Genomic DNA, 13773 nt, shown 5'->3' with positions numbered 1-13773 from the left:
TGGGTACATTCTGTTTCCTCCAGAACCCTGACTGCACAGGGCCCAGAACGTGTAGGCATTTAGCTATTAATAGTATTGATTTCACTGAGAAGATAATACAGGGACTTTGTGAATTAGTGTCATTAGCGCCCATTGCTGTGGCAGAAAACTATAGAATGTTAGGAGGGGAAGCCCATTAATTGTGTTTTTAGAAAGAGTCTATCTGGCAGAATATAACAACCATTGTAGGTAAAACAGTCTACTCTAAATTAGAGGGAGCACTAATATGAATACTGGCACCCTTTGACCTAGAAATTAATCATGTTGTTTTTTCCTTCCTCTTATATTTCATCAAGATGAACTAAAATCCTGTTTTTGGAAGCGACTAGGTTGGTCCGAATCATCCAGGTAATGAAATATCAGATGTTTGTAGATCAAAAGTCATGTTTATAGACAACAGAAGCAGACTTAAAAACATTTACCAGTGTCTAAATACACATTAATGACAAAGACTCCAATTTAGACAAAGTTGCTTAATTTTTAAAATGTTAGTGTTTATAGTTAATTAAACTATAAAGTGAAATTAATGCCAACTTTGATTCAATAAGTGATAGAGTCAGCATAAGAACAGTTTTAGGCCAGGCACGGTGGCTCATACTTGTAATCCCAGCACTTTGGGAGGCCGAGGCGGGCAGATCACCTGAGGTCAGGAGTTCGAGACCAGCCTGGCCAACATGGTGAAACCCCGTCTCTACTAAAAATACAAAAATTAGCCGGGCATGGTGGCAGGCACCTGTAATCCCAGCTACTCAGGAGGCTGAGGCAGGACAATCGCTTAAACCCGGAAGGCAGAGGTTGCAGTGAGCCGAGGTCGCGCCATTGCACTCCACCTGGGGGATAAGAGCAAGACTCCGTCTCAAAAAAAAAAAAAGAACAGGTTTAATATGGAGAGAATACAGAAGATGCTGCTGTCAATTGCTCTGTAGTCATTTTGCATTTCCATGACACACTGTTGGTTATAATCGCCCTTGATTATAAAGACCAAAATTCCTTTCCCTTGAATTTAATTGAATAGAAAGAGGATGTGGTTTGTGTCTTTAAAAAACACACATACCAACTCGAAACTTCCTTTTTTGTTCTTTAAAAAACATGTGCATAGGATAATCGTGCTGGATCAGAGTGACTTGTCAGACTGATTGGAATTGGATCATAGACGGACTCCTGGCCTGAGTTTGAGTGTCCTGGTTGTAAGCTCCTTTCTTCTCTTTCTGCTTCAGTTGCTGTCAGGGCAGCAGTTCCAGTTCTGTAAGTCTCACTTTGTTCAGCTGCCACAATAGACATCATCGTTTGGCCCTCTCTGTTAGCAGCACATTCAACCATTTGTTTTCAGTCAGATTTCTGAAAAGTGAGAGGTAGTTTTGATAGTAAAAATTTTTGGTTGTGCCTAGAATGGCTTTGGTTTTGTTGATGTTAATTTTCAAAAACTTTAACTCTTGTTATATAATAAAATGTTTAATTTTAATAACAGATTTTGCTGTGTAAGATATATTTCTGAATTTGAGTTATTGGGAGTTGGGGGGAGAACTGCCACCCAAAGAGGCTTCAATTTCTGACAAATATGCAGCTACCGCTACCACCCATTATATATACTGGTACCAGTCATCTGTGTCTCATAACAGAACTACAGCCCATCCACTTGGCTGAGAGTGCCATATTCCCATTCCAGCTAGAATTGGCTCACACAATCAAAGTACAGGTAGTGGCCAGATGTGGTGGCTCACGTCTACAATCCCAGCACTTTGGGAGGCCAAGGCAGGAGGATGGCTTGAGCCCAGGAATTCGAGACTGGCCTAGGTAACAGAGGGAGTTCCCTGTCACTATAAAAAATTAAAAAATTAGCCAGACATGATGGTGCATGTCTGTAGTCCTAGCTACTTGCAAGGCTGAGGTGGGATGATCACTTGAGCCCAGGAGGTTGAGGCTGCAGTGAGCCGTGATTACACCACTGCACTCCAGCTTGGGTGCAGAGTGAGACCGTGTCTCAAAAAAAAAAAAAAGTAAGTACAGGTAGCAGTAAAGTCCTAAGATAGTTTGAACTCATTAAGGTGAACAAATATTATCTCCATATATTTTGTATTGTACCACTAAGATCATAGCATTGTCTCTAAATTAGCCTGTTGTGACCACTGGCCAGATGCATATGTGAAGATTTTTTTTTTTTTTTTTTTTTTTGAGACAGAGTCGCTCTGTCACCCAGGCTTGAGTACAGTGGCGCGATCTTGGCTCACTGCAACCACCACCTCCCGGGTTCAGGCGATTCCCCTGCCTCAGCCTCCTGAGTAGCTGGGACTACAGGCGCATGCCACCACACCCGGCTAATTTTTTGTATTTTTAGTAGAGATGGGGTTTCACCATGTTAGCCAGGATGGTCTCAATCTCCTGACCTCATGATCCACCTGCCTCGGCCTCCCAAAATGCTGGGATTATAGGCCTGAGGCCCGGCCATGCAGATTTTTTATATACCTTCATCTACCTCCAGTTTGGAATCTTCATAATGAATAAAAACATTTTACTTTCTTTTTTTTTGAGACAGAGTCTCACTCTGTTGCCCAGGCTGGAGTGCAGTGGCACCGTCTTAGCTCACTACAACCTCTGCCTCCTGGGTTCAAGTGATTCTTGTGCCTCAGCCTCCTGGGTAGCTGGGATTACAGGTGTGCACTACCACAGTGCACACTACCACACCCAGCTAATTTTTGTATTTTCAGTAGAGACGGGTTTCACCATGTTGGCCAGGCTGGTCTGGAACTCCTGACCTCAAATGATCTGCCTGCCTCGGCCTCCCAAAGTGCTGGGATTACAAGCGTGAGCCACTGTGCCTGGCCATAAATAAAAACATTTTCTTAGAAGCTATGTGCTGTTGTGCAGTACTAGCCAGCTAACATGTTATTATTCTGTCTTGGTGAGTAAATAGTAGGTCTTTTGTTTGTGAAAACTGAATAGTTCTTGTTGTGGATGGTTGTATTCCTACTTCTTTGCACTCAGAAATTTTAGCCTGCACAGATAAAATGAGAAGGTATAAATCTATTTGACCATTTTAAAGTAAGGAAACAGTTGCTTGCTATGGTAACCAGAGGAAAACCACCAGAAAACAAATTAGTTTATAAATAATACCAGGTGAAGAAAAGTTTGATTTTCTTAGAGGCAGGATCTGGCTTTGTTGCCTAGGCTGGAGTGCAGTGGCACGATCATGGTTCACTGCAGCCTTGAACTCCTGGGTTCAAGCGATCCTTCCACCTCAGCCTCCCAAGTAGCTGGGACTACAGGCATGGGCCACCACACCTGGCTTTTTTTTTTTTTTTTTTTTTGGAGACAGAGTCTCGCTGTTGTCACCTGGACTGAAGTGCAATGGCATGATCTCGGCTCACTGCAACCTCTGCCTCCCGGGTTCCAGCAATTCTCCTGCTGCAGCCTCCCAAGTATCTGGGATTACAGGCGCCTGCCACCACACCTGGCGAATTTTTTTATTTTTACTAGAGATGGGGTTTCACCATGTTGGTCAGGCTGGTTTTGAACTCCTGACCTCAGGTGATCCACCCGCCTTGGCCTCCCAAAGTGCTGGGATTACAGGTGTGAACCACTGCGCCTGGACTTTTAAAAAAATTTTTTAATAGAGATAAAGTCTCCCTATGTTGCCAGGCTGTTCTCAAACTCCTGGGTCAAGTGATCCTCTTGTCTTGGTCTCCCAAAGTGCTGGGATTACAGGTGCAAGCCACTGCTCCTGGCCTGGGTGAAGAAACTTTAAAGGATACAGGGATTTAAAATACACCATCTTCCTCTCAAAAAACATATTCTAATTGATGAGACAAAACCAACATACGTACAAATGAAAGGACCAATAGCAGACATATCATGATAAATGATGAGCTACATTATTATGGCATTAATTATTAGTATTCATAAAGGCTACAAGTCCTAGTATACAAGTTCCTGCTGATAAGGATTGTAATCTCCTTTATTCAGAGTAGACTCTTCTGTCTGGCCAGTGACTGTAATATTGGCCAATATTAACGATTATGTTGGCAGGTATTATTTATTGGTTATAGAGCAACTATGATGTGCCGGTTACCTTATATACATTAATCCTTTTCTTGCACATAGCAGCCCCACTGTGTTTTCTTTTTTTTTTTTTTTTTTTTTGAGTTGGAGTCTTGCTCTGTCACCCAGGCTGGGGTGTAATGGCACAGTCTCGGCTCACTGCAATCTCCACCTCCTGGGTTCAAGCAGTTCTCTCACCTCAGCCTCTGGAGTAGTTGGGATTACAGGTGCGTGCCAGCATGCCCAGCTAATTTTTGTATTTTTAGTAGAGACAGGGTTTCACCATGTTGGCCAGGCTGGTCTCGAGCTCCTGACCTCAAGTGATCCGCCTGCCTGGGCCTCCCAAAGTGCTGGGATTACAGGCGTGAGCCACCGCGCCCGACTACTGTGTTTCTTTAGTATGCTTCTTCTCCCACTCTCATCATCTATTTCAGACTTCCATCCCTCACTTTGCATAAACTCTTTTTTTTTTTTTTTTTTTTTTTTGAGACAGAGTCTCGTTCTTTTGCCCAGGCCAGACTGCAGTGGCGCAATCTCGGCTCACTGCAAGCTCTGCCTCCTGGGTTCACGCCATTCTCTTGCCTCAGCCTCCTGAGTAGCTGGGATTACAGGCGCCCGCTACCGTGCCCGACTAATTTTTTTATGTATTTTTAGTAGAGACAGGGTTTCACTGTGTTAGCCAAGATGGTCTCAATCTCCTGACCTTGTGATCCGCCTGCCTCGGCCTCCCAAAGTGCTGGGATTACAGGCGTGAGCCACCGCGCCCGGCCTGCATAAACTCAACAGATGACTTTACCTCCAACTTTACAGAAAAAATAGAAGCCATCAGATGGGAATGAACTCAGCTGCCTGCCACCAAACCAAAACTACTAACACGGCCACATCTATCTGTGCAGAACAGAACAACAGTTGTAGGTGAAGCAGTCTGCCCTGCACTAGAGATGGACTTATTCTACACCTATTCTTTTCACTTTCCTTCCTTTTATACTGAAGGAGGTATCCCTCTTCCTGTTATACTGAAGGAGGTGTCCCTCTTCCTGTCCTTGGCCAATATCATCTTTTGTCCATTCAGGGGTATCCTTCCCAGCTTATAATTTCTCTTTTCAGTAGCTTCAACCCACCCCTCATTTTTTTTGAGACAGAGTTTCACCGTGTTGCCCAAGCTGGATTCAAACTCCTGGGCTCGAGTAATCCTCCTACCTCCGTTTCCCAAGGTGCTGGGACTACAGGCTGTTGTCACTGAGCCTGGCTGCTGCTTTTCTTTTCATCAGCATTAACACACTTGGATTTTCCTAACTTTGAAAAGCGTTTCCTGGATCTCACCTACTTTTCCAGCTACTGTCTAATCTCTCTACTCCCATTGCTACAAGAGTTCTTGAGAGAGTTGTCTACACCTGCTATCTTTAGTGCCTCACCTCCCACTAGCTCCTCAGCCCATTAGAATCTGAATTCTACTCCTTCTATTCTCTAGCAGTCATTTAAGATCACAGTGACTCTGTCGGGTGCTGTAGCTCATGCCTGTAACCCCAGCACTTTGGGAGACCAAGGCGGGTGAATCACCGGAGGTCAGGAGTTTGAGATCAGTCTGGCCAACATGGCAAAATCCTGTTTCTACCAAAAATACAAAAAAATGAGCTGGGTGTGGTGGTGCATGCCTGTAATCCCAGCTACTCAGGAGGCTGAGACAGGAGGATCGCTTGAACCCGGGAGATGGAGGTTGCAGCAAGCTGAGGTCCTGCCACTGCAGTCCAGCCTGGGCAACAGAGCTTGATGGTGTCTTAAAAAAAAAAAAAATCACAGCGACTCTTACTCCTAAATCTGATGGACACTTTGGCCTCCTTGTCATTTGCTCTTTGCCTACTCCCTTGGCTTTCCTGATGTCACACTCTGGTTTTCCTTCTATCTCTCTTGATTACTCCACCTCAGCCTCCTTTGGGGGTTCCACCTCTATCTTTTGTCATTGCAAGTTCTTCTCCTAAGAGACCTTGTTCACTCCCATGGCTTCAGTTAGTGTCTATATATACACTGACAGCTCCCAGATTTGTATTGTAGTCTAGGACTAGATTTCTCTTCTTAGCTGATATTACTACCCATATATTTGATGTCTCCACTTGGACTGAACTCATAGTCTTAACTTTCTCCACCTCCAGTATTCCCCTTCCAATCAGTGGTATTGCTGTCCAGTCAGCCACTCTAACCAGAAAATAACAAATTTTACAGGAGTCATCCTTGACTCTCCTTCCATTCCTTTACTCCTTACATAAAAAAATCAATCAGGCCAGGTGTTTTGGCTCATATCTGTAATCCTAGCACTTTGAGAGGCCGAGGTGGGGGGATTGCTTGAGGCCAGGAGTTTGAGACCAACCTGGTCAACATAGCAAGACCCTGTTTCTATAAAATATTTAAAAATTAGCTAGGTGTGGTGGTATGCACCTGTAGTTCTAGCTACTTGAGAGGCTGAGACAGGAGGATTGCCTGACCCTAGGAGTTCAATGCTGCAGTGACCCATGATAGTGCTACTGTACTCTAACCTGGGCAACAGAGCAGGACACTGTCTCAAAAAAAAAAAAAAAAAAATCAATCATTGGCAAGGCACAGTGGTGCACACCTGTAGTCCCAGCTATTCAAGAGGCCTCTAAAATCTATGTCTTTTATACCCATTTCTTTCCATTTCTATTGCCACTACACTAATCCAGACTATAATTAATTCCTCCCTGGACCATTGCAACAGCCTCCTGAAGTGGCTGCTCCCATCCAGTCTCACATTCAACAGATCTTTTTTGAATGACTCCTATGTTCCACGCACTACTTTAGGTGCTGGGGTGATCGCGAACAAAGCAGAGTCCCTGCCGTCCTGGAGTTAAATGAACAAACAGTAAATGCTAGGAAGAAAATAAATAGGTTACAGTGATCATTGGGTTGGGGAGCAACTTAACATTAGCTAGGGCTCTTCAAGGGAAAGTTGATCTGAAGAAGTGACCCTTGAGCTTTGATTGGAATGATGAGAAGGAGCCAGTCTTGTGACTCTGGGAGATGAACATGCCAGCAAGGGAATGGCAAGTGCAAAGGCCCCACAGGAAACACCAAATTAGAGCAGCAGAAGGCCAGTTTGGTGGAGGAGACTAATCTGGGGGGAGGCTGGTAGAGTAGAATAACCTGTAGGGAGGCTGACAGGAGATGAAGTGAGGCTGGAGACTGAGCAGGGGAATTATAGACCATGGCAAAAAGTGGAAATCCAGTGGAAGGTTCTAAGTAAGAGGACAGAGTGGGGTAAAACAAACTGAGTTACATTTTTTTAAAGATTTCTTTAATACTCTCTCTTCTCTAATTTTGTCTCTACAATGATCTTTTTAACATGAAAAAAATTGTTTTATTTCCTTGTTAAGATCTTTGCCCATAGCTCTTAGACATAACTGGATTCCTCTCAGTTCTTCAAATACCTCATGGCACATGCTGTTCTCCCTGCCCAGAATGTCCTTCCTCATAGGTACCTCATTGTTCGGTTCTTAATTTACTTATACTTCACTTCCTCAGGGAGTTTTCCTGAAGTCTATGAACCTTAGACTAGGTTAGGGCCCTCTGTAAGATACTCGCATTTTTCTTGCCTGCCCTCTCCCTGCCGACACACATAACCACATTTTTTTTTTTTTTTCCTGAGATGGAGTCTCGCTCTGCCACCTAGGCTTGAGTGCAGTGGTGCGATCTCAGCTCACTGCAACCTCCACCTCCCAGGTTCAAGCGATTCTTCTGTCTCAGCCTCCCAAGTAGCTGGAACCACAGGCGCGTGCCACCACACCCGGCTAATTTTTTGTATTTTTAGTAGAAATGGGGCTTCACTGTCTTAGCCAGGATGGTCCCGATCTCCTGACCTCGTGATCCGCCAGCCTTGGCCTCCCAAAGTGCTGGGATTACAGGTGTGAGCCACCATGCCCAGCCCGTAACCACATTTTTATTTCATAGCATGTAGCACACTTAAAAGCTAATAGAATGTTCTACCACCACCTGTGGTACATACAACTGTTAAGTTCCACAAGGCCAGGGATCATGTCTGGGTGGTTCATTGAGGTATCCCCAGCTCCTGGCACAGAATCTGCACATATTAGGTGCTCAACAAATATTTGGTAACTGAGTATTTTTAATCCTCAGAATAATCCTAAAAGTTGGATATTATTACTACTTACAAAAGAAGAGACTACCCAAAGAGGGTTCCATGACCTTCCCAAGATCATACTAAACATTAATTTGCGTACTTACAGTAAAACACAGTAGCTTATGTTGGAGTGTCAGACAAGCAAGCCCAGCCTCAGCCCTTCCACCAACAGCTTACCCTGAGACGATAGTTTAAGAGTGCCCTAAGCAAAGTTTCAGGATTGTGAATGAACCAAGGGCCAACTTCAAGTTAAAACTCATTGCTATGGTTTGAATGTTTATCCTCTTGAAACTCAGGTTGAAACTGAATCCCAGTGCAATAGTATTAGGAAGTGGGCCTTCAAGAGGTGATTGGGTCATGAGCGCTCAATCCTCTTGAATGTATTAACCCATTAATGGATTAATGGGTTATCATGGAAGTTGGCTAGTTATAAAAGCCACTTTGGTTCTCTCTTGTGAGCCCCTTTTGCCCTGTGAAGGCTTCTACCATGTTATGATGCAATAAAAAGGCCCTCACCAGATGTGGCCTCTCAACCTTGGACTTCCCAGCATCCAGAATTGTAAGAAATACAATTTTTTCTTTTTTTTTTTTTTTTTTTGAGACAGAGTCTCACTCTGTCATCCAGGCTGGGGTGCGGTGGCACTATCTTGGCTCACTGCAATCTCCACCTCCCAGGTTCAAGTGATTCTCCTACCTCAGCCTCCTAAGTAGCTGGGATTACAGATATGTGCCACCATGCCTGGCTAGTTTTTGTATTTTTAGTAGAGACGGGGTTTCACTATACTGGCCAGGCTGGTCTCAAACTCCTGACCTCAAGTGATCCGCTCGCCTCGGCCTCCCAAACTGCTGGGATTACAGGCATGAGCCACCGCACCTGGCCAAATGCACCCTTTTATTGCTTATACAGGGCAGATAGCTCTCCCTGCCATCCCCCAACTGGATGTGCTACTACCAAGGTCCAAGTTGGTCAGGGGCAGGTCTCCTGACTCCTACATTTCTTCTTCTTTTTTTTTTTTTTAAGAAATGACCCAGTCTTAGGTTTCTATTATAGCAACAGAAAGCAGACTGACACTGTGGTGACACGTCCTTTATGAACCTCATCCCAATCTCCACATCTATTCTATGGGTTTTGTGCCAAGTTTTTAGAATGTACTAAGTCCTTCAAGATGAGAAAGCAGAGAGAATACGTAGCAAGTTCTAGACCCATAGATGATTTATAAACATTGGTTCACTGTTGAATGAAATTACTAGAGTACCCTTGGAAAGTTTGGATTATTAGAAATTTTCAGAATAAGGCCAGGCACAGTGGCTCATGCCTGTAATCCCAGCACTCTGGGAGGCCAAGTCAGGTGGATCACCTGAAGTCGGGAGTTCGAAACCAGCCTGGTCAACACGGTGAAACCCCCCTCTCTACTAAAAATACAAAAATCAACTGGGCGTGGTGGTGCACGTCTGTATCCTAGCTACTTAGAAGGCTGAGGCAGAAGAATCGCTTGAACCCAGGAGACAGAGGTTGCAGTGAGCCTAGATCATGCCACTGCACTCCAGCCTGGGCAATAGAGTGAGACTCTGTCTTTAAAAAAAAAAAGAAATTTTTGGAATAAATTTCAATTGCTCTTTTCCAAATACATTACTTTTGGCTTCTTTCTGAATGCTAATGGTAATGTTATGTACTCATATATGTTGGTATTGGAAGTGGGTTATAGTGAGGTGCCCCCCAAGAGCTCAGAAATAAGTTGGTCCTGTGGGAGTTAAATAAGTAAAATCCACTCTCCTACTGGATACTACTAATTGTATAGTAGAGTAAAATTAAAGGACTTTTAATAAATGCATGGTTGAAAACAATGCTGCAAAAGAAGAGTAAGGAGGAGGGACTTGTCCTACCGTATATTAAGGTGTAGTATAAAGCTGCAATAAACAGTATGGCATTGGCATAAGAATGGTAAGAATTATAGAACATAATAGAGAGTTTCTAGCCTGGGAAATACAGTGAGACCACATCTCTACAAAAAATTTAAAAATTAGCTGGGTGCGGTGGCACATGCCTGTGGTCCCAGCTACTCGGGAGGCTGAGGTGGGAGGATCACTTGAGCCCAGGAGGTTGAGGCCACAGTGAGCTGTGTTCACACCATCACACTCCAGCCTGGGTGACAGAGCAAGATCCTGTCTCAAAAAAACTCAAAAAACCCAAATAGTCCAAAAAACATACCAAAGTATAAAGTTTGGGAATTAAGAATGTAAAACTTCTTTACTGCAAATAATGTCTGGACAAGGATAAAGTCAACAAACTGGGTGGAAATAATTGCAATATATTGGATAAACAAAAAGTTTATATCCCTAATATACAAAGAGTTCTAATAACCTGTAAGAAAAAGACAAACACCTTAATAGAAAAATAGACAAAGAACAATTCACAAAAGAAGCTGTACAGACAGCCAATTAGCATATTAAAAGATGTTCAGTTTAACTTGTAATCAAAGAAATGCAAATTAAAACACGGTTGTTTTTTACCTCACTGATTGCGGAGGACAAGTATTGATAACATCTAAGGTTGCTGAGAGTATGGGGAAACAGACATCTTCATTCACTGTGTTGGGGGTATAAATTGGTACTACCTCTCTGGAGGATATTTGTCAGTATGTATTTTAAATGTGACTACTTTTTGACCCAGAAACTCCATTTAGACCAGTATGACACAGATTCTATTGTACATATGTATCACCTGAGGGTCTTGTTAAAATACTGATTCTGACTAAGTAGGTCCAAGGTGGGCCCCAAGCTCCTGAATTTCTAACAAGCTCCCAGGTGGTGCTGATGATGCTGGTCCACGGACTACACTTTGAATAGAGAGGATTTAGAGAACTTTATACCCTGGTTGCACATTAGAACCATCTGAGGCATTTAAAAAAATACTGGTGCTCAAGCCTTACCCCCAAATTATCTGATTCATTTTGTCTGAGGTGGAGCATGGGCTTTGAAAGATCTCCAGGTGATTCTAATGTGCAGCCAGGATTTAGAACTATTGTCCTAAGGAGAAAATTGGAATATACACAAATATATATTTATAGTAATGTATGTTTATTGCAACATTGTTTATAATATTGAAAAATTAGAAACAACCCAAATGAGGTGGGCTACTCAGTAGGCTGAGACAGGAGAATCACTTGAGCCCAGAAGCTTTGAGGCTTTAGTGTGCTGTGCTCAGGCCTATGAACAGACACTGCACTCCAGCCTGGGCACCATAGCAAGAAAAAAAAGAAACAACTTAATGTCCAGCAGTAAAGGACTCATTTGAAACATTCTGGAACAACCATAAGTGGATTAATTAGAAATTACATCATAGATACAGATTTATTGACAGAAAGGTATTCATAACATGTTATGGAATAATGCTAGTACTAGGATGCTGGGAAGTTTATAATAAGACTATGTAAATTTATAATTAAATGTCTACATAGTAAATGCATAGAAAGAAATGTGGAAAGATGCTTATTAAAATAGTAACGGGGTCCTCTTAGGTGATTTCAACTTTTTATAATTATTTGTAAAACTGTTTTCTAATTTTTTAAAATATTTATTTATTTATTTGCTGGAGATGGGATCTCACCATGTTGCCCAGGCTGGTCTCGAACTCTTGAGCTAAAGTGATCTGCCCACCTCAGTTTCCCAAAGTGTTGGGATTACAGGCTGGGCCACCACACCTAGCCAAAGCTGCTTTCATTTTGGGGAATAGAAAGGGTTTAGAAATACTTAAAACTGGCTGGGCACGGTGGCTCACACCTGTAATCCCAGCACTTTAGGAAGCCGAGGTGGGTAGATTATCTGAGGTCAGGAGTTTGACACGAGCCTAACTAACATGGTGAAACCCCATCTCTACTAAAAAAAAGAAAATCAGCTAGGCATGGTGGTATGCGCCTGTAATCCCAGCTACTCGGGAGGCTGAGGCAGGAGAATCACTTGAACCCGGGAGGCAGAGGTTGCAGTGAGCCAAGATCACGCCACTGCACTGCAGCCTGGGCAACAGCCTGGGCACAGTTTATTTGAAACTCCATCTCAAATAAAAAAAAAAAAAGAAAAATGAAGCTGACCATCCTATAATCTCAATGACCCTTCAGAGTTCATAATAGAATTTTGGATATGGTAGAGTCTATGTCTAAAAGAGAGAATGAGAGAAAGAGCATGTGAAAGGGAGAGAAAGGTGACAGAGTCTCCTCCAAAATGGTCATCCAAATTGGAAAGTCACTTTTCAAGAGAGAACCGGAGTCCGGCTGATTGGATAGCTGACAGGATCATGAGAAAGGACATTAACATTTGTTGTGTGACACCCATGTACCAGGCAGTGGTTTCCAGGTGAAGAAACCAAGTCCCAGGGAAGGCAGGTAATTTCTCCTAGGTACACCTGTAGTCATTTATGATGGAAACCAATGATTAACTCCAAATTCCTTCTTTCTTTCTTTCTTTCTTTTTTTTTTTTTTTTTTGAGATGGAGTCTTGCTCTGTCACCCAGCCTGGAGTGCAGTGGCACGATCTCAGCTCACTGCAGCCTCCGCCTCCCAGGTTCCAGCGATTCTCGTGCCTCAGCCTCACGGGTAGCTGGGATTACAGGCACGCACCACCACGCCTGGCTAATATTTGTATTTTTAGTAGAGATGGGGTTTCACCATGTTGGCCAGGCTGGTCTCAAACTCCTGACCTCAGGTGATCCACCCGCCTCAGCCTCCCAAAGTGCTGGGATTACAGGTGTGAGCCACTGCACCCAGCCCAAATCCCTTTTATTTTGTTTTTATTTATATATATTTTTTGAGATGGAGTTTTGCTCTTGTCACCCAGGCTGGAGTAAAGTGGCACAATCTCAGCTCACTGCAACCTCCAACTCCCGGGTTCAAGCGATTCTCCTGCCTCAGCCTCCTGAGTAGCTGGGATTATAGGTGCCTGCCACTATGCCTGGCTAATTTTTTTGTATTTTTAGTAAAGACGGGGTTTTATCATGCTGGCCATGCTGGCCTCAAACTCCTGACCTCAGGCAATCCACCCGCCTCGGTCTCCCAAAGTGCTGGGATTACAGGCGTGAGCCACCGCACATGGCAAATCCCTTTTATTAATAAAACACTAAACTCTCCTGGAGCAAGAATGTGAGAATTTTATTATTTGAGCAACCTGGATTTTTACCCCAGGAGCAATGAAACAATCCATGAGACCTGGAAAAAGCTGAAGCTCTCTTTTTTTTTTTTTTTTTAACTTGTATACAGTACAGTTTCAAACAAAATTGGGGCAACTTTGTACTTCGTACCTTATTAAAACTGGGGCGAACACAGCGTGTTTGGTTTGATCTTGTCTTCATAGGATCTTCTGGCTGATTCCTTCTCTGGATGAGTCCTGAGAATTTCTAGAATCTCGGGAGAGTAAAGGAGGGTCTGGAGCCTTCTCTATGTACAAGGAAATCCCAGTTTTGTTAAAAACTTGCCAAAGGCTTGGTGATATAACTCCAAAGACAAATCCACAGATTCCTTTCAGGTACTTCTTTGGGATTCTGTGAAGAATTGTGGCTG

General features: G+C 43.3%; 1 protein-coding gene and 1 long non-coding RNA gene across 4 annotated transcripts in view, besides 1 other annotated feature; one reads left to right on the top strand and one right to left on the bottom strand.

Moving 5' to 3' along the window:
• TEX14 (testis expressed 14, intercellular bridge forming factor) overlaps positions 1–1508 on the top strand; it is a 135368-nt gene extending 133860 nt beyond the window's left edge. For all 3 annotated transcript variants that reach the window (NM_031272.5, NM_198393.4, NM_001201457.2), the window contains 2 exons: positions 336–387; positions 1139–1508. In NM_031272.5, coding sequence (NP_112562.3) covers positions 336–387; positions 1139–1175 — 89 coding nt within the window. In that variant the 3' untranslated portion in view covers positions 1176–1508. The remainder of the gene's footprint in view (positions 1–335; positions 388–1138) is intronic.
• Positions 1175–1344: an enhancer, noted in NCBI's record as "active region_12485". NCBI's record gives its function as "activates an Ori minimal core promoter by ATAC-STARR-seq in GM12878 lymphoblastoid cells {active_cell/tissue: GM12878}" and the evidence as "EXISTENCE:reporter gene assay evidence [ECO:0000049][PMID:35858748]".
• The window catches only part of SEPTIN4-AS1 (SEPTIN4 antisense RNA 1), a 37089-nt gene continuing 24576 nt past the window's right edge, over positions 1261–13773 (bottom strand). The window contains exons 4-5 of the long non-coding RNA NR_110810.1: positions 13515–13650; positions 1261–1377 (exon numbers count right to left, since the gene is read on the bottom strand). This is a non-coding gene — a long non-coding RNA (SEPTIN4 antisense RNA 1). The remainder of the gene's footprint in view (positions 1378–13514; positions 13651–13773) is intronic.

Source organism: Homo sapiens, chromosome 17 (genome assembly GCF_000001405.40).
Source record: "Homo sapiens chromosome 17, GRCh38.p14 Primary Assembly".
NCBI classification, from domain to species: Eukaryota; Metazoa; Chordata; class Mammalia; order Primates; family Hominidae; genus Homo; species Homo sapiens.
The sequence above is the reverse complement of the archived record's forward strand: the minus strand, read 5'-3'. Positions and strand labels throughout refer to the sequence as shown.